This window comes from Homo sapiens, chromosome 11 (assembly GCF_000001405.40).
Source record: "Homo sapiens chromosome 11, GRCh38.p14 Primary Assembly".
Lineage (NCBI taxonomy): Eukaryota > Metazoa > Chordata > Mammalia > Primates > Hominidae > Homo > Homo sapiens.
Window position 1 is genome coordinate 6,685,002 of NC_000011.10, and position 27,176 is coordinate 6,712,177.

General features: G+C 40.5%; 1 long non-coding RNA gene and 1 pseudogene across 1 annotated transcript, besides 1 other annotated feature; one reads left to right on the top strand and one right to left on the bottom strand.

Moving 5' to 3' along the window:
* On the bottom strand, positions 845-1,410 carry RPL21P94 (ribosomal protein L21 pseudogene 94; annotated as a pseudogene).
* Positions 5,572-6,121: an enhancer, noted in NCBI's record as "NANOG hESC enhancer chr11:6711804-6712353 (GRCh37/hg19 assembly coordinates)". NCBI's record gives its function as "activates a minimal SCP1, AML or CMV promoter by ChIP-STARR-seq in naive H9 embryonic stem cells {active_cell/tissue: H9 hESC(naive)}" and the evidence as "EXISTENCE:reporter gene assay evidence [ECO:0000049][PMID:30033119]".
* LOC124902625 (uncharacterized) lies at positions 5,913-19,470 on the top strand. Its single transcript, XR_007062574.1, has 4 exons — positions 5,913-5,951; positions 7,695-7,790; positions 9,625-9,776; positions 19,431-19,470. It is a non-coding gene; the product is annotated as an uncharacterized LOC124902625 (long non-coding RNA).
* The last annotated feature ends 7,706 nt before the right edge of the window (positions 19,471-27,176 follow it).

The window sequence follows — 27,176 nt, forward strand, 5'->3', positions numbered from 1 at the left end:
AAAAGTTTCTTTAATATGAAGGAACAAATATGCAAATAGGAAAAGTCATGAACATATAAATACATTGACAGATTTATACAAATCACACTTCACAATTAAAGAAATTTACAATAAATTACAGAAATTACAATTACCATTCATGTTTTGTTTCTTTGGGAGCAATTCTTGTAGTTTTCAATTGTCTTTGCAGTTGAAAAATTTCACTAAGATGTTTTCACCAGGATATATATATATTTTTTTGAGACGGAGTTTCTTTCTTGTTGCCCAGGCTGGAGTGCAATGGTGCGGTCTCGGCTCACTGCAACCTCCACCTCCTGGGTTCAAGCGATTCTCATGCCTCAGCCTCACAAGTAACTGGGATTACAGGCGCCCACCACCATGCCTGGCTAATTTTTTTTGTATTTTTAGTAGAGACGGGGTTTCACCATGTTGGCCGGGCTGGTCTCGAACTCCTGACCTCAGGTGATCTGCCCGCCTCAGCCTCCCAAAGTGCTGGGATTACAGGTGTGAGCCACTGTGCCCGGCCCACCAGAAAATTTATCATAAATTTCTATTGGTAAAAACTTGTGAAGAGGTTCTTCTTCAGCAAAAATTAGGTGAAATGAAACATTGATCCATTGTCTTAGAAAATGCTTACACTTGGTAAAAACAATTGTAGCATCAAACACTGTCCTTTTGACTTTTTCTGGCAATACAAGACCGTCATCTCTTGTCTCTTCTGGTAGTCTTCAAAATTTGATTCTTTTTTATATGTCAATTTCCTTACATTTTGTTTTTGCAGCATTACTACTGGCTTTCTCTGCAATTTCTGTGGGCTGATATTAACGGAACAATTTTTTTTTACAGTCCAAGGGTCTTTTATTAGTGGTATTATTTGCACCTATTATGTCATGAATTCATAGGGAATAGGTTCCAGTAGCTCTGGCTCCTCTCCATTGGTTCTCACCAAGTGTGCTTCTCTTGGTGCAGCAGGCTGGCCTGTCAGCTGAATCCAGGTACCTTTCTCTTTGGCTCTCTTCTTTTTCTGATCATTTTCTTTCATGCATTTCAGGAGACTACCTTTTCCCTTAGAGTGTTTAATGTGCTCCATATGCACATTAATTCTTTTGGCAAGAATCTAGCCCTTAACTTTTTTTTTTTTTTTTCCCTACAGCAATGCTAACAGCATGCTGAGTAACATTATAGACTCTTCCAGTTTTTGCCATGGTAACACTTGTGAGGCATTCCTTTTTGAACCATACCCATTCCCTTGATGTCTACAGTATCACCTTTTTTATAGACTCCCATGCATGTGGCCAACTCCATGTTTTCTAAAAGGCCTAGAAAACATACACTGGGTGCCTCTCCTGTTTTCCTTGTGTTGGCCATTTTGGTGAATTACCAGAATATGGAGCTTCCAGCCAAAAGGAAGTTAAAGCAACAATTTAAACCTTGATGTTTTACTGACTGTATGTTGTTCAAGGCTTATTGTGGCTCTTTGCAGATATTTTTGTGTTTGATTAGCCTTCTTTGAAACTTTACATTAATAAAAAAATACTCATAAAAGAAAAGTCCCAGAAAACCAAGGTTGTTTGTTTTAAATCTACTGTTTAAAAGCAGGGATATTTTGTACAACAGGAGTTGGAGTCATGAAATGTACCTGAAGTGAGCCTGAGAGCTAATTAAACTCTTATGAATTTATATCTATAAATATAAATAAAACTCTGGTCTCCTGCACAGCTGGCTCTGTGTGAGTTACTCTTTCTCTATCGCAATTTCCCTGTCTTGTTAAATCGGCTCTGTCTAGGCAGTGGGCAAGGTGAACTCATTGGGTGGTTACAAATCTGGGGGCTTGTCCAGGATTGCCCATGTGGCTACCTGCCCATGGTTTGGTAGTCCCCCTCTGGTGATGGATTCAGATGCCAGCTCAAGCAGCTGCCTAGTTATTTTGGACTGGGGGCTGACTCTGGTATTGTCTCTGCTGAAGGGGCACTGGTGACCCAGTGTGCATGGATTTAATTGCAATAGAGAAATAGTCTTGAGGAGATGTCCTATAACTGTAGCCCTATCACAAGGTGTCTGTCTGTAGCCCAGTCATGGAGTGTCTGTAGCTGTAGCCTCATTACAGTGTGTCTGGATTGGTGAATATCCTAGGCACGGCCAACGCCTCCTTCCTTTTCCCGATTGGTTTGATTCCTTTGGGGAGGGGGTCTTGGTTTTTCTGTTGCCCCATGGTGGGGTGTCGGTCTGTAGCCCCACTGAGGGGCATCTTTCTCAGTTTGGTTCATTTGAGATTCTCGGTTGGCTCTCTCTAATTAGTAGGAAGAGTCTTGGTTTGGGAGACTTCTCAATCAGGAAGATTTTGGGGAGATTTCTCAGACAGAGAACAGGAGGATAGTTTGGAAGGGATACTCTTGGAGTTCTTGGTTAGGGATCTGATTTGGAAGCCCTTCTGTCTGTCTTGTCTTTGTATGTGTTTATATATGTGGAGGGGACCTCAGAAGGACTTGCTGATGAAAGTCCAGCAGGCCTAACTCAGAGAACCCTCCTTATTTGTCTGGTCACATTCGGTGAGTCCCAAAGAAAGCTCAACAGGCCTGGCTCAGGACGACTATCTGCTCTTCGTCTTGCCCAGAGACCACCCATCAAATTACTGGTTGGAGGTCATTCCTCCCCACCTGGAGTGGATCAAAGACAATGGGGACCAATGGGAGAAAGTTTGAGCCTTGCCAGGTCAATACTGGGTGGTGAATGAGATGACTAGTGTCTGTTTTGTTATGTATATTTTGCTTTTACAGGGATGGAAAATGTTAGTTTGTTTCCCCATGCAGCCTCTTGGGCAGCATCTTGCAAAATTGAGAATCTTTTGCTTATGGTTCCATAAGAGAGAAAAGGGTGATTTTCTTTTGTAAAGTGGCTTGACCTCCACAGCTATGGCACAACTAGCAGGGTCATCAAAAGCTGCTCTGTTCTTCCAGAAGCTGCAGAGAAAGGGAACCTGGAAACCTGGTATGCTGGCAAAAAGGGTAAGAAATTCTTACCAGCTGGGTTTCTGTACCTCCCCATCTGTGTGTGTGTGTGTGTGCACGTGTGTGTGTGTGTGTGCACGTGTGTGTGTGTGTGTGTATAAATGGTAAACATCACTATTTGCCTTCTCTGCAAGGGTTTGATTAATAGAAAAAAGGATTTGCGAGACTAGTCAGGCTGTAGCAAATCTGGTTGACTTTGTGCTAAGAATTTGTCTTTCTGTAATGGAGAGAGGGGTATCACAGGATAGAACGTGGGCTTAGGACCCCAGTAAGCCTGCTTTTCAAGCCAGCCTAGCAGACTGGTCAGTAACAAACTTTGTTGAGGGTCCCTGAAACCAATACCGGATGAAATTTCTCTGTCTTGTTTAGTGTCCTTAAGAGCTTAACCTTGTGACCATGTGAGGATATTGTCTCTTGGTTTCTGCCATCCAGAGGACAGGAATTTTGGGGTTCATGTCATAGTTAGCCCTAAAAATTATCTTGAGGAGTTAAGAGCCTTTGCAAGCTTGAAATTGGCTGCTCTAGACTTCTTCTGGGAAGAGCAATAGAAACTGCTCAATGCTGTGTAGCTCAGTAGCTGAAGCTTTTTTTTTTGACAGTGGTGGCCTGGGTTCAATTCTTGGCTTCTGGAAAGTTTCCTTTCTGGTTTGTTATTTATGTAATTTTGCTATTTATTGAGGGTTTTTCCCCCATGGATAGCTTCTGATTTCCTGTCTTGGATTTTCCTTTCTCTAAACTACCCTTGGTAAACTACCCTTGGGGAGATTGTAAATCTTGCCAAAAAAAAAAAAAAAAAAAAAAAAAAGAGAAACTGCTTATCATCTCTTTGAGACACCTTATATGTCCATGGTTAAGTTATAACCTTAGCTAAAACTTATTAATTTCATGTAGAAAGTTACCTGTGGTAGAAATCAAAAGCCAGAAATATCGGCTGTCCTGGCTAGAGTCTGGTAATAAGAAATTTTAAAGGATTTATTTATTTTTTTAAAAAAGATCTCTATGGTTAAAATCAGCTTAATTAAAAAGAAATATCCAAGCTATATGTATTTAAGAGGACTTTATCTTTTTCCTCTTCTTGAATTGTGTTTTCCTGAAAAAAGTTTTTTTTCCTTGGTAGACAGAATTGTTCTTTTCCATTTTGTCTTCTTGCCACTCTTGATGCCCACATGAGAGAATTTAAGATAAATTCTAACAGCCTGGGACTCCTGGGGAAAAGCAGAGGAGGCACCACAGACCCTATTCTGGGATAAAGCTCTGTTTTCCTCACAGAAGCCCAGGAATTGAAAGAGAATAGATCCCTTTCAAAATCTAAGGCTCTATTCTGTTTTGCATTGCATTAGGTGACAGTTTTGACTTTTGTGGGTATCAGAAATTACTTCGCATTATGAGAGAAATTTGGTGTGTAATAACTAGGTAGGAAATTACTTTTGGGGATGGCTAATGGCAGTTATGGGGGGATACTTGGCTCTTTGAAGTTTTGATTAGAGAAGTATGTTCTTGGCCACCTGGAAGATATGGAAACATCTCCAACCCTCACTGAGAGATGAGACTCCCATGGGGGATGGGCTGAGTATAAAATGGGCTGATTGGCTTTGGGCTGTCTTACAATGAAATGCATGGTAAAAGCACTGCACTATCTTCTCCTGTCGTATTTCCCTCTCTTTTGGGGATCTAGGATCCAGTATAAAATGGCACCTTTAATCTTGAGGACCTGTCTTTGCCTTCCAGCTGTGCCTGCTTGTTAGGCCCTAGAAACTGCATACTTTCCTGGCCCTGTACCTCCAAGGGCTCCACCCTGAAGCCAGTACTCCAATTAAGAAACTGGCAAATGAGGGGCTGGGCACAGTGGCTCACGCCTGTAATCCCAGCACTTTGGGAGGCTGAAATGGGCGGATCACAAGGTCAGGAGATCGAGACCATCCTGTCTAACACAGTGAAACCCCATCTCTACTAAAAATACAAAAAATTAGCCAGGAGTGGTGGTGGGTGCATGTAGTCCCAGCTACTTGGGAGGCTGAGGCAGGAGAATGGCATGAACCTAGGAGGCAGAGCTGGCCGTGAGCTGAGATTGCGCCACTGCATTCCAGCCTGGGCGACAGAGCGAGACTCCATCTCGGAAAAAAAAAAAAAGAAACTGGCAAATGAAAAACCTTACAAGTGCTGAACCTTCTCTCTGTCTGTCTACTTATATGCATTGTGTGTGTAATGTTTATATAAAAAGGGCTCTGATTAGTTGGCTTAGAAAAATAAGCACTTAAATAAAATATTTGGTTAGAAAAATAGAAACTTTAATGCCTTTTTGTTCACATGACTTTAGTAATCTTTTGGAAATAAAGACAGTTTTAAAGATTATTGGTAAAATAAAAATGTCTTCAAAATGTAGACATTTGGTTTAAAGGTCAGATATCAGATCTGCTAAATGCTTTAAGGTTGTAAACTGCTTCTTTGACTTTGGAAAATTGTTCAGTTTACCTACTTTGGAGCATTGGACTCTAGATAAGGCCTGGGGACATGTGGAGTTGGCCATGCCCCCTAGCTATGCTAGAAAGAGTCAGATCTTATCTTCACTTCCGTCTGATGTCCTAGGCCCCACAACTAGTACATAATTATTTATTTATTTATTTATTTATTTATTTTTTTTATTGATCATTCTTGGGTGTTTCTCGCAGAGGGGGATTTGGCAGGGTCATAGGACAATAGTGGAGGGAAGGTCAGCAGATAAACAAGTGAACAAAGGTCTCTGGTTTTCCTAGGCAGAGGACCCTGCGGCCTTCCGCAGTGTTTGTGTCCCTGGGTACTTGAGATTAGGGAGTGGTGATGACTCTTAACGAGCATGCTGCCTTCAAGCATCTGTTTAACAAAGCACAACTTGCACCGCCCTTAATCCATTTAACCCTGAGTGGACGCAGCACGTGTTTCAGAGAGCACAGGGTTGGGGGTAAGGTTAGTACGTAATTAAAATCTCTTACTTGTCGGGCTTTTCACCAAAAATGAAAGTTGCTAAGGGTTAACATTGTAACATGTGATTGAGACTACTGGAGAAATGGTTTTACATCCAAAGTGTGTAGGGATAGTAGGATGTGTTTTTGGTAAAAGATTGTAAGTCGGCATGGAAATGTGGCTTTTGTTAAAGAGAATATAATTTTGTCTAGTTTAGAGGAATTTAAAGATTGTCTTAACCTAAAAGAGTATTGGGACAAAACTGAAGGTTTAAGCAAGTTGAAAAGGGTTTGTGAAGAGTTGGCCTTATGAAGAAAGTTCTGTGGGTATGAGTAAGTTGGCTAAGATTTGAAGGGGATTATTTAATTTTTTTCCACATGTTGAATATTAAAATAAAAGCACATTAATGCGGGGCCAGAATCTGGGCCCATGTGTCCGAATAACAGAGTTTTCTTAGAAAACTGAGATGCTGTTTAAAGGGTTCTAAAAAATTTATAAAAATCTTACCTTATGGTCAAACTAATTAAAACTGAATAGATTGATAAACTTTTATTTAGAAACTAGCTATAACATTAAAGATGCAATAATGCAAACATGAAATTTGGTTTTCTCTCTTTTTTCTTTTTTCAATAAATCAAGGTTTTTATTTTAATTTTTTAATTTTTCTATTTTTTGAGACAGTTTTCTCTTTCCTGGATTTCTCTTTTGAGAAAGATTTTTATGTAATATTAAAAGATAATGAAAGGTTTTTGTTTTCCCCTTTGGGTAAATGGCAGGGAGAGAGAAGAGACAGATTCAGTTGGCCTCATGCTATCTTCATTGGGTCTTGTTTGGAAAGCTAAGTCTGTTCTATCAGAGTAAAGGTTTTCGTCTTAAAAAATTTTTTTTTGAGTTACCACTTCAGATAAATGAGCAACCTGTGATTCTATTTTGTGATATAGTGTTCGAAACCTTTGATATTTGACAAACTTTCCAAAATTAAATTAAAAAATATATCATTTTCTGACCTAATCAATCCTTTTAGATATTAGGTCCTCTGAAGTCCAAAAATGATGTGTTTGGCTTATTTGGTATAAAAATCATACAGGAAGCATTGTCAAATATGAAATGGTATTTGGCTATCTTTGGGCTGTACTTATATAAATATGTTATTAGTATTATTTTCAAAATTATTGGAAACTTCTATAATTCTGATGTGATTTAGGGTACATTATGTAAAATTGTTGTATGCCACAGAAGTGACCAAAATTTCTAGTCAATTGAGCTTTAATAGTGGCTGTTGTAAGACTTTTGTCATCCACAGACATTTTGTCTGGCTTTGGTCCTTTTCAAAAGGCAGTTTATAGTCAGATATAGGACTCTGAGTGCAGGCCTCTGATAACTTTAAAAATTGTGCAATTGGAATAGAGGAAAAACTGAAACTTCTGGGACTCTCATGGAGAGCTGATGTGTTAAACATTGCTAATCCTTTTGTTTTCAGAATTAAGGAAACTTATTTCTTTTGAGCTATTTACAACTTTTAGCAAGTGTGTAAAGTATACTCCTGGGAGCAAAATTTGAAGCATATTGCTTTCTCTTTACCTGATTTCTATGGAATTTAGAAACTACTTGTGAGTATTCTCAACTTATGGCAGTATAGTTATTTGAATAAGTGCAATGAGAATCTGTTCTCTTCTGAAACAAGACACAATTGGAGAAACTGGTTATTTTACCAAGGCTTTGACTAAAATGACATGCTTTCTTTAGGGAATCAAAGTGGACTTATAAAGCCAATAAAGCCCCTTGGGAAAGCTGGCCTCATGCATTGTCTACAGAGTCCTTGTACAGAGTTCCTGACCAGTGGTAAGTAAAGAATGTCGCTTTCTGACAGGCCCAGGAGCCCCAAGTTATCTTGAGACCTTGAGATGAGGAATTCACAGGTGTTTGGAGGCATAGATAAATCCATGGCTGGGCTTCAAGGCTTTTAAAAAGTACAACCTGAGATTCTTTATAGAACAGTTTCAGCAAAGCCAATATTAAAAAGAGCCTATGTGAAAAATAATTATTCTTGCTACACTTTATGCAAATAATCAGGCCAAATATGATAAGACTAAAGTTTATTTTGTGAACAGATCAGTTCTATCATGATGTGTTTTTGATAAAAATAGGGACTGGACGGGAGGCTGAGGCAGGAGAATGGCGTGAACCCGGGAGGCGGAGCTTGCAGTGAGCCGAGATCGCGCCACTGCAGTCAGCCTGGGCGACAGAGCGAGACTCTTGTCTCAAAAAAAAAAAAAAAAAAAAAAAAAAGGGACTGGAGAGAGAAAAATTATGCTTCAAAAAACTATAGTACATCTGTTGTTAGTTGTTCTTCAGTTTTTTTCTGCAGTTTGGACTAAATCTTAAATTCTTTGTGGGCTGCAAGTCCCCAAACTAGAGCTTTCAAATCTTTGCTTTTAAAACTGGAAATCACACTCCTTATCTTAGTACTCATTATTTACCTTATAATGTGCTGTTCCCTTAAATGTGGTACTAAAATTATAGATGGCAATACTAATGCCTTTGTCATAGAAGCCTTAGAATCCCAGCCAGGCCTGTGTGAGTATGCTCAGACAGTTGCAAAGTGATTTCACTCCTCTCACCTTGGGGTCAACACCTACCCCCACTACACCCCTGGTCAGCAGGAAGAATTTAGAGGGGTCTTCGCCCTTTTCCCATCTTCATTAGCTAACACCTTAAGATTAAGGTGTTATAAAATCCAAAGGGAGAGATTGAAACCACCATTGCAAAATTGTAACTGAGACAGTGAAAAGAGATCTGACCTAACCAATTCCATCTTGCTTCTAACCTCCAAGCTGTTCTTGTTCATTCCTGGGCATAGGCTGAACTAACTTTGGGAAGAACTTAATTTATAGTTCATAGCTTAAAACAAAGGTGATAACAGGCCTTTTCCAAGGCAAACCCCCTTCATGCCTGGGGACTAGACTGCCTTTGTGGGACTAACAAATTAGCCACAAGATTAGAAATTATGGTTCAGGAATCATACAGCTGAGGCTACAAGATTCTGACTCTATCTAAACTGCTCCTAATATCAGTGCTTGAGATATTTTACAGTCTCTGCACTTGATGGATCAGCTGGCACCACCAGATGAATAAACTGGCTCATCTGATCTTGTGGTCCCCACCCAGGAACTGACTCAGTGCAAGAAGACAGCTTCTACTCCCTGTGATTTCATCTCTGACCTGACCAATCAGCACTCCCAGCTCACTAACTTTTCCCCCACCCACCAAGTTGTCCTTAAAACCCTGATCCCCGAATGCTCAGGGAGACTGATTTGAGTAATAATAAAACTCTGGTCTCCTGCCAAAAAAAAAAAAAAAAAAAAAAAAAAGGGAAAGAAAAAGAGTAATATATGTGGCAGAGTTTGTGTAACTGGTAGTTCTCCAAATTAACTTCCATGTAGAATAAAATAATTTTTAGTGAATAAATTTAAAAAGAGATAATTTGAAGCTTACACACATATTATTATAATGCAACAGTAACTGTAGCAATTGCTTAGAACTTAGATTAACTTTTTTTTTTTTGTTAAGGGTCATTGTATCACTAACATTGCCTAGAATTGTTGTACAAGGTGATAATAAAAATCAGATTGACTTTTAGTTTGTTTTATTACTATTTAAACTTTTTTTTTTACAGACAATTCACCCCTTATTTCTGCACCCGGGCCAGGCTGCTCTTACCTCTCAACCCTGTTACCCACTGGTTCTCAGTATGCGCCTGAGATCCCAGGGAAGGTGCTTGGAATAGATCTGAGTATTCTGCCTGAGACAGGACTTGGAGTGACTCTGGTAAGAGTCCAGGTGGAGCCCCTGAGGAGGTGTTGGTAGTGACCACAGTCAGTCTGGCAGGATTGAGGAAAGTGGTCCCAATCAATGTTTTGGGAGGCAGCTGAAGAAAAAAGATCCCAGCCTCTAAGAGAATTTTTGTCCGCAAACTCTGCTGGAAGAAGGGGGTTGGATCTGCTGATACCACTGCAGAGAACCCCTAAATGCCTGCATCCTATTCTGCAGGAGCCTCTGTGAAGCAGTGTTTGGGGAGCCAGTTTAGGGGAACACAGCAAAGTGTTCGATCAGGGGTTTAGTGATGATGGTAGGAAGCAATTATTGATTAAACCCCAAGCCGACTTCTATCTCTAGAATCCTGAATGTCTAGAAATAGCCTAGGAACTGGCTCTTTCTTGATATATATTAATTCTTACCCTCAGAGCAGGGTAATCCAACATTTTGGGAGGCACTGGACAAAGATACAGCCTATCTCTAGTATCTTATGGAATGATGATCATATTGGGTGATCAGTTGAAATGAGTTTTTCAGAGTCACCAGGATATTGAGGATAACAACAAATCAAAACACACCCCAAGCTGAAACAAGAAGCCTTGTAAGCAACTGAATTTAGGAAAATTAACTCCTGATTTACATGTAACTAAAGTTGAGGTGGTCCAGGGTGATGGAGGGGCAGAATTTGGATAGAATCAGCACAATCCTCTACAGTGACTTCATTCTGGAAATGGTGACTAGCTGTTTCCGACTTGGCTTATTCTCTTCATGTGGTGTTCTTTCCCCTCCCTGCTTTATTTCCTTCTATTATTAGTGAGATGAACTGCCTGCTGCAGAAATTATAAGGTCTTTCAAGGTCAAAGAAGGACTCTGACTCATGTATCCCATTTCCTCTCCCCTCCCTTTTATACCCAAGCTAGCACTGTGCTTTTCTAAGTTTGAAAAGTTTACAAGTTCATAAAAAAGAAAAAAAACCTTAAAAAATCTTAAAAAATAGAAAGCTTTGATTTCTTTGTGTTTCTTGATGACTTCACCTTTACTTAGCACAATTATTTATCCTCTCCTTTCTCTTTTATTTGCTAGTTATTGAGAATTTTTAATTTATATTTTATTCTTTTGAGACAGGGTCTTACTCTGTTGCCCAGGCTGGGGTGCAGTGGTGAGCTCTCTGCTCACTGCAACCTCTGCCTCCTGGGCTCAAGGGATCCTTCCATCTCAGCCTCCTGAGTAGCTGGGACTACAGGTATGTGCCACCATACCCAGCTAATTTTTGTATTTTTTGTAGAGATGGGGTCTCACTGTGTTGCCCAAGCTGGTCTCAAACTCCTGGGCTCAAGCAATCCTCCCACCTCAGCCTCTCAAAGTGCTGAAATTACAGGTATGAGCCACTACACCTGGCCTGTTATTGAGAATTTATTGTGTGGCTAGGCCCATTTCTTGTCAGCTACCTTTCATTAGACCTCAACACCAAATATCTCTCTGACTGTGCCTCTGTGTGGTATTTCCCATTATCTGTGACCTTTTACTACTGGATTTAAATTATTAAAAGGATCTCTCCAGCTTACCTTTTCCTATGAGCCTGAACTCAAACATGTTACTGACTGTGCTATTGGCAAAGCATCTGATTTGTTTTTGCTTTGGGTCCTTTCTCTCATCCTCACTCGTATATTTCTGCACCACCAGAAATTGGTTCTTTTCTTTATTCCCTACTTATCTATTTTGGAAAGATTTGAATCAGATAAAAGTTGGGCAATAGGCACATCAGAGGAAAAAATAGCTACAAACTGGATTCATTTGGAAGGAGACTTACTGATCATCCAGTCAAAGGGCTCTTAGCTTTTGTTGTGCCTTTTGACCAAGACTGAGCAATCTTAATCTTCCGAGAATAATACTTTTAAATGCATGAAAGAAAATACAAAGGAATACAAAGGAAGCCAATTATGTTGTTTTCAAAATATTTTTTTAAAATCTCTAATTGGTGACATCATAATATGTGCTGTTTAGAATTAGAATAATTGAGACTAATACTATTGTGGTTTGCCACCTACATACAAATGGAAGAAAATGCTACATTGCAGTAACAGGTCAATAAAAATAAAGACATATTTTTTTCCCATTCAAGTTTATGCACCTCCTGAATTTTATTCATTGACTCCTTGGGTGTCAGACCTCCAGATTAAGAACACCTGAGTTATTGTGCAGGTGAGGAAACGGAGGAAAGCCCTTGTGAAAAAAGTTGAGAGGTCTTATTCTTTGAAAGAGAAGAACTACATTTGAATCCCAGTATAGCTCAGTAAACATCAAGTCACTACCTTCAACCCCACCCCAAGTTTCTTTCTTTTTTCTTTTTTTTTTTTTGAGATGGAGTATTGCTCTGTTGCTCAGGCTGGAGTTCAGTGGTGTGATCTCAGCTTACTGCAACCTCCGCCTCCTAGGTTCAAGTGATTCTCCTGTCTCAGCCTCCTGAGTAGCTGGGACTACAGGCACCTGCCACCATGCCCGGCTAAATTTTTTGTATTTTTAGTGGAGACGGGGTTTCACCATGTTGGTCAGGCTGGTCTTGAACTCCTAACCTCAAATGATCTGCCCGCCTCAGCCTCCCAAAGTGCTGGGATTACAGGCATGAGCCACTGTGCCCGGCCTAGGTTTCTTTCATTCATTCAATATGTGTTGAAACTTACTATGCACCAATTGTTGAATTAGCCATTTGGAATTCACTAGATAACTGTTCTTATAAGATGTATAATGTAGTGAGGAGTTAAACATTAAACAGATATGTAGAAGTGAGTTTACATGCTTAGAAAGGAACAATATGAGTTTTTCTGGAATAATGGAGGACATTTAAAGTGTGTACAGTTTAGTAGGTTATGGAAGGCTTCTCTGAGGAAATGATGTCTAAGCTGGGACCTAAGGATAAATAGGAGTAGGCTAGATGAAAAAGTAGGGGAAGAGTGTTCTGAATGAAAGAAATGGCATGTTTGAGGGCCTAGAGGAAAAATCCTTTCTGGACTGAAGAAAAGTTCACTGTGGCTGGAGGAGTGAATGGAAAGGGGTGAGCATTGAGGCTGGAGTGAGACATGGATCCCATTGTGTATGAATATATACTATAAATCATTTTAATGATTTTGAACTCTGTCTTAAAAGGTAGTGGGAAGCCACTGTAGCATTTTAGGTAGAGAAATGACGTGATCAGATTTCCATTTAAAATATAGTCACAGGCCTCACGATACACCTTTCAGTCAATAATGACATATGACTTGATGGTCACATAAAATGATAACACTGTGGGCTGGCCAGGCATGGTGGCTCATGCTTGTAATCCCAGCACTTTGGGAGGCCAACGTGGGCAGATCGCTTGACCCCAGGAGTTTGATACCAGTTTGGGCAACATGGCGAAACCCCATCTCTGTAAGAGAAAAAACAAATTAGCGGGGCTTGGTGGCATACGCCTGCAATCCCAACTACTTCCCAGCTACTCAGGAGGTTGAAGTAGGAGGGTCACCTGATCCCAGGAGGTAGTGGTCTCCAAAAAAAAAAAAAAAAAAAAAGTTGAGATTTGTTTAGATACACAAATATTTACCATTGTGTTACTTTTGCCTACAGTATTTACTACATTAACATGCTGTACAGGTTTGTAGCCTAGGAGCAATAGGCTATACCATATAGCCAACATGTGTAGTAGGCTATACCATCTAGGTTTGTGTAAGTACACTCTATGAGGTTCAAACAACTACGAAATCACCTAATGACGCATTTCTCAGAACACATTCCTGTCACTAAGCAGCACACAATTGTGGGTCTCTTTGTCTTAGGTTGTGGAAAATGGAGAGGGGGAGCAACAGCAGAGTCAGGGAAGCCAGTTAGGAAGTTTTTGTGGTAGTGCAGATAAGAAGATGGTGACTTGGTAGAAGTGGGGGTTCATTCATTCATTCAACAAATGCTTACAGAATATTTTTAGGGTCCTGATAGGCAACAGATGACACACTTAAATTATGTAAGATATGGATTGGATTTAGGAAAGCCAACAAAAACAATGGTGCAGGACCTCAGGCTAGCAATATCAGAACCATTACCACCTTGAGGCTTGAAGGGGCAAGGGTGGGGAACAATTCCCTGGGGGAGGGTCACTGTATGGTGGGAGCGATGCAGCGGGAGGGAAGGATGTGTGGGAAGGGACCTAGGGGAATCAGTAGCCAGAACTCACTCTCCTTTTTCCTTTTGATCTTTTGCTGGTACTTCCCTGTGGCCTCACCCACTCAGAAACCAGAGGGCAATGGAGCCCAGTTTCAGGTCACACAACAGGACACAGAAGGATGGAGAGTGTATCTGGGACACAAACAGAAAATATTCCCCACAAACAATTTTTAAAAAAACCTGGCCGGGCACGGTGGCTCACACCTGTAATCCCAACACTTTGGGAGGCTGAGGCGGGTGGATCATGAGGTCAGGAGTTCAAGACCAGCCTGGCCAACATGCTGAAACCCCGTCTCTACTAAAAATACAGAAAGCTGGGCATGATGGTGCACATCTGTAATCCCAGCTAGTCAGGAGGCTGAGGCAGGAGAATCACTTGAACCCAGGGGGCAGAGGTTGCAGTGAGCTGAGATCGCACCACTGCACTCCAGCCTCCGTCTCAAAACCATACCAAGCCCCTACATTCATAGGGCTTATATTCTAGGAACGCTCTCTTCAAACTTAGGTATGCACACTGTGGGGGTTGATGGGACTTTCTAGGAGATACACATGTATAGATAGTTTTACAGTAATTTCTTTCAGGTCCTCAACATCCATATGTTTCTTTTCCAAAATTGATCTGCCCAAGAATATGTCTATTGTAGAAATAGCATTGTTATTCTTCTTTCCCACCTCCGCTTACACATTGACCCTTCACTCATTTTAAAAAAGAAAGCTATTCTTCTTGCCCATTTTCAATCTTATGGCACATTGTCCTGAATAAAAAATCCAAGGGGTAAAACAGAGGAACAAATCAAAATATTGGTGTATATGAAGCCTCCTTTTCCTTGCTTATACGTTTCTGTTAAGAAAAAAAATGTGGCATTAGAAATGGTATTTTTGTCTCTTCTAAATCTTCTTATGTAAAAAAGAAAAAAAAAGAAATGGTATTTTTGGCTCATGATAGACTATACTAAAACCAGATATGTTGTAGTAAGGACAGCAAGAATAATAATTTTTGTTGAATGATTTCATCTCTTTTGACTGCTGACAATTGCTAAACCAAACCAACAAACAAAAACATCATTCCTAAAGGAAAGTTCTGTTAAGAAAATCATAGAGATTACTGTTAAGAAGTAGTGAAGGTGATACTAATTTAATTCATATGACAAATTTTTGGCAACATCACTTACCCATAATTAGAATATTCAAGATTTATAAAAATCATGCTGGGAAATGTAACATACATTCTATAACATGTATCCTTTGCATTTGCATAAATTTCACAAATGAGAAAAAGCTTAATGAGTATTTTTGTTCACTTAGGTCCAGGTGCATATTTCATAAAATTTCAGTAATTAGAAGAAGAAATTTTATGTTTGCTTCTACCACTTTATTTTTATTTATTTATTTACTTAGAGACAGAATCTGGCTCTGTTGCCCAGGCTGGAGTGCAATGGTGCCATCTCCGCTCACTGCAACCTCCGCCTCCCGGGTTCAAGCAATTCTCTTGCCTCAGTCTCCCAAGTAGCTGGGATCACAGGCACCCGTCACCACACCTGGCTAGTTTTTGGATTTTTAGTAGAGACGGGGTTTTGCCATGTTGGTCAGGCTGGTCTCGAACTCCTGACTGACCTCAGGTGATCTGCTTGCCTCAGCCTCCCAAAGTGCTGGGATTACAGGTGTGAGCCACTGCACCTGGTCTGCTTCTACCACTTTAATGTTACATGTAAGAGAAAAAACAATATATATTGGAAGTAAGTTAACCATGTACATTTATTCAAACTCATGGGAGAAACATTTTTATTAGCTTTTTTTTTTTTTAAAAAAAAAGCTTTATTGAGCTAAATTCACATACCAGAAAGTTCTTCCATTAGCTTTTGATAGAGGTTGGGGTCCTATAAATATGTATTTATTTTTACCCTCGCTCATGACTTACTTGTTACTCTTCAACCAATTTTCTTGTAATTTATTCATTCCTATCATCGATTTAAGAAATTTAGATTAGCTTTATTTGAATATTTGGTTAATTCTATTGTAAAAATCCTTCTGTAACAATAATTAATACACGTTTTAAGCCCCTGCACTTCTAAGCAGCCCAGTACCTTTACTTTTTGCTCTTAATCTCTACTAAACCCAGTCACATTTTAACATTGGGTATTTTATTCATTTAAGGATAAGGGAACTAATTAAAAAAAAACTTGCCCTGTTCTTGTCTTTAGAAGATGTATTTTAATAAAAAAGTACTCTTTCTATTTAAGAATTATTTATCACAGATTTGTAAAATACTTTGTTTCGCTTAGTTCTATACTATAAAACTGAAATGGTAACTAAACCTGTAAGAAATCAGTTGAAATTTACATTTCAAATTTATACGCATATTTTGTGGCCCAAGTCATGTATGCTACTCTTATAACTGACAAAGGGGTTGTGGACAGAATATGTAAAGGACTCCTAGAAAATCAACACAAGATAAAAATGGGTGAAAAACTTGAGTAGGCATTTTATGAAAGTGAATATTCAAATAGCCAATAAAGGACAAAAATGTAAAACTTCATTATTAATTAAGGAAATACATATTAAAACCATATTGAAATAGTACTATATACTCCAGAATGGCTAAAGTTAAAAAGACTTTCTGATAAAATTAAGTCTTGGTGAGTATGAGAAGCAACTGGAATTCTCATACATTTCTGATAAAGGCATAAATTGCAACATACACTTTGAAAGCTGGTTGGTACTCTTTACAGAAGTTGAAAATGTATATGCTACAACCCAGAAATCCTACTCCTAGTATATACACACATGCCTAATGGAAATGTGTATATATGTGCACCAGAAGGTATGCAACAATGCTTATAGCAAAACTATTTAAAACATTCCCAAGGTGGGAACAGCACACATGTTTGTTGGCAGAAAGGATAAATAATTGTCATTTGGTCATATAATGCATTATACAACAATGAAAATAAACTAATACAGCTCCACATAGTAACATGGATAAATCTTAAAAACGTAATGTTGAGTAAAGGAAGTCAGGCACAAAATGTACACATTGTATCATTCCAACTGCTTGTTTGAAAACAGAGCTAATCTCTGTGTTACACTGCTTTGGAGAGTGGAGAGAAGGTACAGTGATTAGAGGAGGGCATGAGGGGTGAGTTCTAGGGTGTGGGCAATGCTCCGTAACTTGATCTGGATGCTGGTTACTGGAGTGTATTTGCTTTGTCACAGATCGTTGAGCTGTACACATAAAATCTGTGTACCCTTTTTAGTATAACTGTTATATTTCAATAAAAAAGAAGTTAAAAAAGATTAGCCACATCTTTTATAGCTGTCCGACTCATGGAGAGTTATCCTTTCTTTGAGTTTAATACTGATAAATAAAGGTCCCCTGAAGATATCCACCTCCTACTCCCCAGAACCTGTGACTGTTACTCCATATGGCAAAAAGGACTTTGCAGATGTGATTAAATTCACAATCTTGAGACGAGGAGATTATCCTGGATTATCCAGTGGGCCCAATGTAATCACAAGGGTCCTTATAAGAAAGAGTCAGTAGGGTCAAGCATTGGAATGAGGCACTGAAAAACTTGACTTCTTGTTGCTGGCTTTGAAGATGGAAGGGGGTCATGTGTCTAGGAATGTAGAAGCAGAAAAGGCAAAAAAAAAAAAAAAAGAAAGAAAGAAGAAAAAGAATTTTTCCCGAGTGTCTTTAGAAGGTACGAAGCTCTGCCAATACCTTGTTTTTAATTCCATAAGTCCTAATTTTAGACTTTGACCTCCAGAACTGTAAGATAAATCTGTTGTTTCATTGTTTTTAGCCACCAAGGTTGTGATAATTTGTTATAGTAGGAACAGGAAACTAACACAGTGGGTTACACATTGTGCCCGTCAGAATACATCACACATAATAGGTACTCTGTGAGTGTGTATTGAATGAATGGCCGAGCTTCCAACATGTCTGATTCTTAATTACGACGAAGGAATTTTAGAAATAAATAAAGGTGTTTTTGTCTGTGAGAATTCAAGACTGGTATTGTGTAGTGTGACCAGGCAATTTTTTTTTTTTGTCTCTCTCCTGCTAATCTTCCAGACCTCAAGGACCTTTCCAGACCAAGGTCCTGGAGGTGAAGTGAAGAGAGCACAAGCTTTGAACTCATCAGACAACAAAATTGAAGATGAGGATGTAGATAAAAATGCCATTATTAGGGCTTCTCCTTAGTCTGTCGGAGGCATTCATTTGTCTGGAGGAAGTTAGAATTTTTTCCAAAAATATAAGACTGAGGTAATATTAGTCTTTTGACATCCAAATGGATTATGCCATGCATCAACTTTAGGATTCATTCACAGAAATGTAGCACAGCATGGTCAGAAAGAAGAAGGCTTAATTTTACAAAGGTGCCTTGAGTTTTTATGCAGTTTGGATACTGAATTGAAACCCAGTGGATTGTCATAGGCCTACAATAGCAGAATGAGTTGACTCAACAATAAGGTAGCGTAGACTGCTGGACCAATTTGCAGGCTGGAGGATGTGGCAATCAACTCAGGGTTCTGCAGACAGCAAAATTTTTCTTAACAGCCTTAGCAACTCAGGAACATTGTCCCTGTAGAAAGTACAGACCCCATGTGAATTAGCCAATTTAGCAGTGGTGTCCTGCAGAATGTTGAATAATTCAGTGCCCAAAGGACAGTCCCCCAGAGACCAGCAGATGGAGCTGCCACAACATAAAAACCAGCCTGAGGCTAGAGTTCCTTCTCTGTGCCAGGGGATTGCATAACCATAGTCTCTCCATCATACACTGGGGAGAGAAGCAGGGGAAGTAGAGGCTTTCTGAGTGATCAAGCATTATTTTATCCAATAGAAACAATAATTTCTGAAGGCATATTTACATTGTGTCAGGTTAGACTAAATTAAAATTAGATTGCATTATTAGTTTTTTTTTCTTCCTCCTGCTAACTCGTAGATAGGGATTTGGGAGGACATCAGATTATAGACTAAATAAAGAGAGTAAAATGTTTCTGTACATCCTCTGAGGTGTAGTGTAAGCCTTAGGATCATCCCCAATTGCCCTACTGCAAGGTCATTGAGATTTTTCCTTGGATAAGGTTGCCAGAAAAGGAAAGAGAATCACAGAAAGAGCAAGAGATCACAGAAGTGCATATCAATTTACATTTTTCGCTTCCTCTCTCCTCTCTTTCTTATCCATGAGTTCATGTTTTGAGTTTGGGAAGTTGGAGGCAATTTGAACTTGAATCCATAACCCTCTGTCTCCTACATGATACACCCTTCTCTTTGTTTTGGAGAATGCTCTTCAAGCAGGAGTTTCCAATAAATACCTCCATTCAGCGAATGTTTACTAAAGGTTTGATAAGTGGGAGGCCCTGTAATAAATACAGGATATATAAGAAGAGAAAGCTGGCCCTAGCCTGCACACAGGGGAGTAGGGGGAATATGCATTTTTTTCTTTATTTAATCTTTTTTTTGTACAGATGGAGTCTTGCTATGTTGCCCAGGCTAGTCTCAAATTCCTGGCCTCAAGTGATCCTCCTGTCTCAGCCTTCCAAAGCACTGGAATTACAGGTGAGAGCCACTGTGTCCAGCGGAAATATTTAAACAAATAATTTTCGAAGTACTGTAGTTGAAGAAAAAGGAGCTGATACTTTTTTCTTTTTTTTTCTAGATGGGGTTTCACCATGTTGGCCAGGGTTGTCTTGAACTCCTGACCTCAAGTGAGCCACCTGCCTTGACCTCCCAAAGTGCTGGGATTGCAGGTGTGAGCCACGACAACTGGCTGAGACTAACATTTATACTGCTTATATCTAGGCCCATGTCTGTGAAGATATCCCTGACATCTAATCAGTTATCTCTCAATTTTTGCCAAAATTTCCACCTTGCATTTCCATGTCACGAATTATATTTATTCTATCTTCTATTCACAATTTTTTTTTGAGATGGAGTCTTGCTCTGTTGCCCAGGCTGGAGTGCAGTGGTGCGATCTCAGCTCACTGCAACCTGCACCTCCCGGTTCAAGTGATTCTCCTGCCTCAGCCTCCTGAGTAGCTGGGATTACAGGCACCCGCCACCATGCCTGGCTAATTTTTGTATTTTTAGTAGAGACAGCATGAGCCACTGCACTGGGAATGTTCACATTCTTTCCAGCAGTTTTTGTACATCTTTGGAAGAATATCTATGTCCAAATTACTTTGTAAAGCTCTGGGTCCTGTCGTGGCAAAATTGTAGATATATAGGAAATGTGGAGTGAAAAACTGTCACACTCAACCTGTGCAAAGATGTATGTTCAGGCTGGGCATGGTGGCTCATGCCTGTAATCCCAGCACTTTGGGAGGCTGAGGTGGGCAGATCACCTGAGGTCAGGAGTTCGAGACCAGCCTGGCCAACATGGCAAAACCCCGTCTCTAGTAAAAATACAAAAATTAGCTGGGCATAGTGGCATGGACCTGTAATCCCAGCTACTTGGGAGGCTGAGGCAGGAGAATCGCCTGAACCCAGGAGGCAGAGGTTGCAGTGAGCCGAGATTGCGCCACTGCACTCCAGCCTGTGTGACAGAGTGAGACTCCATCTCAAAAAAAAAAATTATGTTCAAAGATGTATGTTAACTGCAGTGCCATTTATGAGTGAAATTTTGGAGTATATATATTATACATTGCCATGTATGCAAAATTGTATGTTTTCCACTATGTGTCCATATGCCTAGAAGGATGAGTATAAAAATGTTCACCAAAGTTAATCTGGATGACAGGATTTTGGGTGTCTGATTTTCTTATGTTTTTCCACATTTTTGAATTTTTTCAATAAATGTAATATTGTAAAAAATAAGAAAGCTTTTCAAAAATTTCATCAAAATTGCATTCATTTTCTTTCTCCTATTTAAAACTCTTGAACACCTCATTTCACAGTGGTTCTCCACCGGGGCAATGCAAATGTTTCAGGGACATTTGACAATGTCTAGAGACATTTTTGTTGCCATAACTGTGAATAGTGCTACTCACATTTAATGGATAGAGGCCAGAGGTGCTACTAGACATCTTATAACGCACAGAGAGTTTCCCACAATAAATTATCTGGCTCTAAATGTTAACTATGCCGGAGTTGGGAAATCTCAGAATTCATTATCCTGATAGGCTCTTTATCACCATCTGGTGGTGAGAGAAGTGCCTGCAACTCCCATGTAGTTTCAGCCAGAAACCAAACTAGGGCCTCAGAAAAAAGATGGGAGGCCCTAAGAAGGGTAGCTATAGTTACAAAGGGAGGTAGAAAAAGAGCAAGTTAATTCATGGCTGAGAGGGTCTGTGATGCTCTTACTAAGAACTGTAGTTGCTCCTGACGCTGCCATTCTGTATCTATGAACGCTATATTATGATTTCCATTTTCCTGCCGCGCTGGGACTCCAGAGACTCAGAAGAAGGAAGTTAGATGCTGAGGCAGGAAAGGCTTTGGGGAAACTTTATGGATTTAATGTGGTTGATATAAGGGGGTAATCTCTACTTGCATCCATAGGTGCCTCCCCATTACATAGGATGATAAAGCTTTAGCTGTGCCAGGAACAATTCTAGATCGCAGCATGTGGGACCAAGTCAAAGCTCCTTGTTTTGGCTTGATGTAACCGTTACTTCCATTTCACTTTTCCTAAGGGATGCATTTGCAAGGCCTAGGCTTCATTCCTTGACTCCACCCCTCCTACCCCCAATTCGAAAGCCACGTAGAAGAAATATCTGTTCTTACTTGCTTATCAGTTTTACTTCTTTTATTTTCATCCACCAGTTTCCTGTTTTCTAATGATCACTTACTAATGAATTTCCCATCTGGCAGCTATGTCTCATGCTCCTCTCTGCTGCTCTCAACAGGGCTGTAGGCCACTTTCCTGCCTGCTGCTCACTTCTGAAAGATCTGTATTCTCTCACTCCTCAAAAGGATGCTGCTTTCTTCATACAGGTGTTGGGAAGAGGAGAATGTTGTATGCCCCTCATTTTCTTTTTGCACTACCTCTTTAGTATCCATCACCCCATTGTCCAAATCTATCTTGACATAGCAATATCTACCAATGCCTTGAAGTAGGTTGCAGGTTGATTTCCCCAAGAGCAGACGGTAGAACAGTGTGGAGGGCAAGATGTTTATTAGGGATCAACGCCTGTGAAGAAAAGGGGCAAAAGTAGGATTTGGCAGAGAAAGACATTGAGCCGTGATGCAGGCCTTACAAACCTTCCCTGAACCTGGTGGAGAGCTCTGTAGAGTGAAGACCAACAAAGCATCCTGTGTCAGGCTACAATGGCTGGGTCTTTCTTTTCTGTCTCAGCCTCTGGATACAGGCTACCCCAGGAAGGGCATTACCTCAGGTGAAGGGGCTCCCTGCAATTGAGGCAGATTGGGAAGATCTGACAGCTGAAGCCTGGCTGCTTACTTCATTCCCCTCAGTTGGGCAGCAAGTCTTCTCTTGCAGGAGGTTCTGGGTGGCACAGTTCCACGTCTTCACAGAGGAGTGGATGAGAATTACAATGTAAACTACAAGATAAACATGATTTTTCCCATGGTTCAAAGGAAAATCGCCAAAGATACATAAACTGTCAGGCAGGTTGTTCCTGGTTCACATCTTTTCCAATTTGGAATAAATGCAAATTCCTTGAATTTCATTAAAAATAACAATGACATTGGATAACTGTTGCCTCAGGAACCCACAACGACGCTCTCATTCTGTCCTGGCCTACTCACATATCTTCCCTCCATTCCTCACCCCTTTTTTGAGGTTTACATTTTAATTCTATTGTATTTTAAAAATCCTATTCAGAGAAAATAAACTATAGATACAGGAAACAATAAGGAAAGCACATTTATAAACACTGTTTCAGTCAAAATAAAGAACTTGGACTGGCCCAGCGTGGTGGCTCACACCTGTAATCCCAGCACTTTGGGAGGCTGAGGCAGGCAGATCGCCTGAGGTCAGGAGTTTGAGACCAGCCTGGCCAACATGGCAAAACCTCCTCTCTACTAAAAAGTATAAAAATTATCTGGGAGTGGTGGCAGGTGCCTGTAATCCCAGCCACTCGGGAGGCTGAGGCAGGAGAATCGCTTGAGCCTGAGAGGTTGCAGTGAGCCGAGATTGCACCACTGCACTCCAGCCTGGGCGACAGAGCAAGACTGTATCTCAAAAAAAAAAAAAAAAAAAAAGAACTTGGACCCTCTTCTTCAGGACCTTAACAATTAAGATGGAGTGTAGCCACAACTACATTTCAGTATAATAGCAATAATAATGTTAATAAATGCTATAATTACTTCTATTAACGTGACTTTTGCTGCGGTTATTGCTGCTTCTGCTGTTGTTGGCATTGCTACTACCTAACATTATTGGCACGTGTACCATGTTTCAGGCATATGTATTGTTTCACGTTATTCTTAACACTTCACTGAGGTTGCACCATTTTATGTATGAAGGAAATGAAGCAGAGACAGGTTAACTAACTCATCCAAGGTCATACATGTAGTAAATAGTGGAGGCCCTTCGCACAACTAACAGCCTGGCTTTCACAGGCTGGCATTTTCTAACTCTCAACACTTGGCTTATACCTGCTTCTTCATCTTGAATTACCTTCTTCTTGCTTCCTCTCTCTCTTTGTACCCTTTGACCTACACTTCTGCTTTCCCCCACCCACCATCCCAGCTTCTGGTAACAAACATTCTACTTTCCTTCTTTTTTCTTTTTATTTTTTTATGTTTTTGAGACAGTCTCCATGTGCCGCCCAAGCTGGAGTGCAGTAGAGCTATCTCAGCTCACTGCAACCTCTGCCTCCCAGGTTCAAGTGATTCTCCTGTCTCAGCCTCCTGAGTAGCTGGGATTACAGGCGCCCGCCACAACACCCGGCTAATTTTTGTATTTTCAGTAGAGATGGGGCTTCACTGTGCTGCCCAGGCTGGTCTACAACTCCTGACCTCATGTGATCCGCCTGCCTCAACCTCCCAAAGTTCTGGGATTACTGGCATGAGCCACCGCACCTGACCACAAACATTCTACTTTCTACTTCTATGATTTCAAATTTAGATTCCACATGTAAGTAACTCACAACTTATTCATGTGATTTGATGTTGTTCTAGAATCCATCACCCTGCTTCCCTTTTCTACAGGCCTTGTGACTCCTTCTTTCCCACTGTACTTGGTTCTCTGCTTTAACTGACTGGAACATCCCTAAATCTACTGAAGTGATCCCCAACTCCCATGTCTCTGTTTCCCACTTGCAATGACTCTGCCCCATTCCACTGACCATGAGAGCCCTGTTCCTGCCAATGTCATAACTCTAGCTACCTCTAATCCTGTGAGCTGCACCTAGACCCAGTGTCTCCCCCTGACCACCCCCCCCTTTTTTTTGGTTTCACAAAACAATTTGTTAATAGATGATATTTTCATTTTGAATTACTTGTACCATGATGATTAGTAGATCAGTAAATAAATTTGATAATCAGCCGGGCATGGTGGCTCACACTTGTAATCTCAGCATTTTGAGAGGCCGAGGCGGGTGGATCACGAGGTCAGGAGTTCGAGACCAGCCTGACCAACATGGTGAAACCCCGTCTCTACTAAAAATACAAAAATTAGCCAGGCGTGGTGGCATGCGCCTGTAATCCCAGCTACTCAGGAGGCTGAGGCAGGAGAATCACTTGAACCCGGGAGGCAGAGGTTGCAGTGAGCCGAGATCGCACCACTACTGCACTCCAGCCTGGGCAACAGAGTGAGACTCCATCTCAAAATAAATAAATCTGATAATCGTACAAACTTAGAACTAGAAAGACTGGTCTAATATGTTTACAGAGTGAGGATTTTGAACGCAGGTGTCTCCCCTTCTTGATGATCTCATCCCTCCTGACTCCTGAGGTCTCTCGCCCCAGTGCCACCCAACCCACTGACACTAATCCTCTCCAATCCTAACCCCACCTTGATGGCAGCGCTACTCTCTCCACTTCTATCACAGAAATCCCCATCTCTACACAGGCATCTTTGCTTTATCCCAATTTACCTTTTTCCCATCTTTTGTGTGATTTCTTGAGAACGGCCTCTGAATCTCATTTAATAACCATGCAGCTTAAAATCCTGAGGAATTTATCAAAGACTTTTGAAATTTTATACACACTAATTTTGGTTTGAAAGTCAAGGTTAACATATATATGATACCTTGTTAAAGGATGTTAAAAACGTTTAATTCACACATAATATTCATACATGTTTATGCAGTACAGAGTGAGATTTTAAAAAACTTTTATTTAGCCTCAGGGTTACATGTGCAGATTTGTTATATAGGTAAACTCGTGTCATGAGGGTTTGTTGTACAGATTATTTCATCACCCAGGTACTAAGCCTGGGTGATGACAACTGCAGGCTGGCATTCTCTAACTCTCAACATTTGGCTTATACCTGCTTCTTCATCTTTCTGGTCCTCTCTCTCCTCCCACCCTCCACTCTCAGGTAGGTCCCAGTGTCTGTTGTTCCTCTCTTTGAGTCCATGAGTTCTCATCATTTAGCTCCCACTTATAAGTGAGAACGTGCAGTATTTATTTTTCTGTTCCTGCATTAGTTTGCTAAGGACAATGGTCTCCAGCTCCATCTATGTTCCTGCAAAAGGCATAATCTTGTTCATTTTATGGCTGCATGGTATTCCATGGTGTATGTGCAGGGTGAGATTTTGATACATGTATATAATGTGTAATGATTAGATCAGGGTAATTAGCATATCTATCACCTTAAACATTGATCATTTCTTTATGTTAAGATCATTAAAATCTTTTCTTCTCACTTTTTGAAAATATACAATGAATTATTGCTAACTATAGTCACCCTCCAGAACTATAGAACCCTAGAACTTATTCCTCCTATCTAGCTGTAATTTTGTATTCTTTAACCAACCTCTCCCTATCCCTTTTACAGCCTTTCCCTTCCCAGCCTCTAGTAACCACTGTTCTGTTTACTTCTATGAGAGCAACTCTTTTAGTACTGACCTATGAGAGAACATGTGTTATTTATCTTTTTTTTTTTCTTTTGAGACCAAGTCTTGCTCTCTTGCTCAGGCTGGATTACAATGGCACGATCTCGGTTCACTGCAACCTCTGCCTCCCTGGTTCAAACAATTCTCTTGCCTCAGCCTCCCAAGTGGCTAGAATTACAGGCGCCTGCCACCACGCCTGTCTAATTGTTTTTGTATTTTTAGTAGAGACGAGGTTTCACCATGTTGGCCAGGGTGGTCTCAAACTCCTGACCTCAGGGGATCTGCCCGCCTCGGCCTCCCAAAGTGTCAGGATTACAGGCGTGAGCCACCACACCCGGCCAAACATGCATTATTTGTCTTTCTGTGCTTGGCTTATTTCACATTAGAGACTTTTATGAATTCATCAAACAAACATAAAAAGCATTCTGAAAATGGTAATTGAACAGTGAGCAGTTTGTGGGCGGCAAGCCACCCAGGTGCTGAGGCAAGAGACCAAGGGCACGAGCTGTTCCAGTATAATATATAAAATATACTATACTATATTATATTATAATATATATTATATATATGATAATATATATAAAATAAGAATAGTTATACTAGATATATATCTTAGATATGATTATATATGAATATCATTAATCATTAGTTTGTAGTAATTATTCTTTATTCCAATATTATAATAATCCTTGCTCTACAATCATAACCTAAGAAAAACCAGGCCATACAGAGATAGGAGCTGAGGGGACACAGTGAGAAGTGACCAGAAGAGTGCGAGGCTTCTGCTATGCCCAGACAGGGCCACCAGAGGGCTCCTTGGTCTAGTGGTGATGCCAGTGTCTGGAAAGACTCCCTTTGCCAAGTGGACTGTGGTCTAGCGGTAGCGTCAGTGTCAAGGAAAAACACCCACTACTTAGCAGACCAGGAAAGGGAGTCTCCCTTTCGCCGGGGGAGTTTAGAGAAGACTCTACTCCTCCACCTCTTGTGGAGGGCCTGACATCAGTCAGGCCCGCCCGCAGTTATCTGGAGGCCTAACCGTCTCCCTGTGATGCTGTGCCTCAGTGGTCACGCTCCTAGTCCGTTTTCATGTTCCATCCTGTACACCTGGCTCTGCCTTTTAGATAACAGTAGCAAAATTAGTGAAAGTACTAAAAGTCTCTGATATGCAGAAATAATGGTGTCAGCTGTCTCTCTCTCTCTCCCTCTGTCTCTCTGCCTTGGCTGCCAGGCAGGGAAGGGACCCCTGTCCAG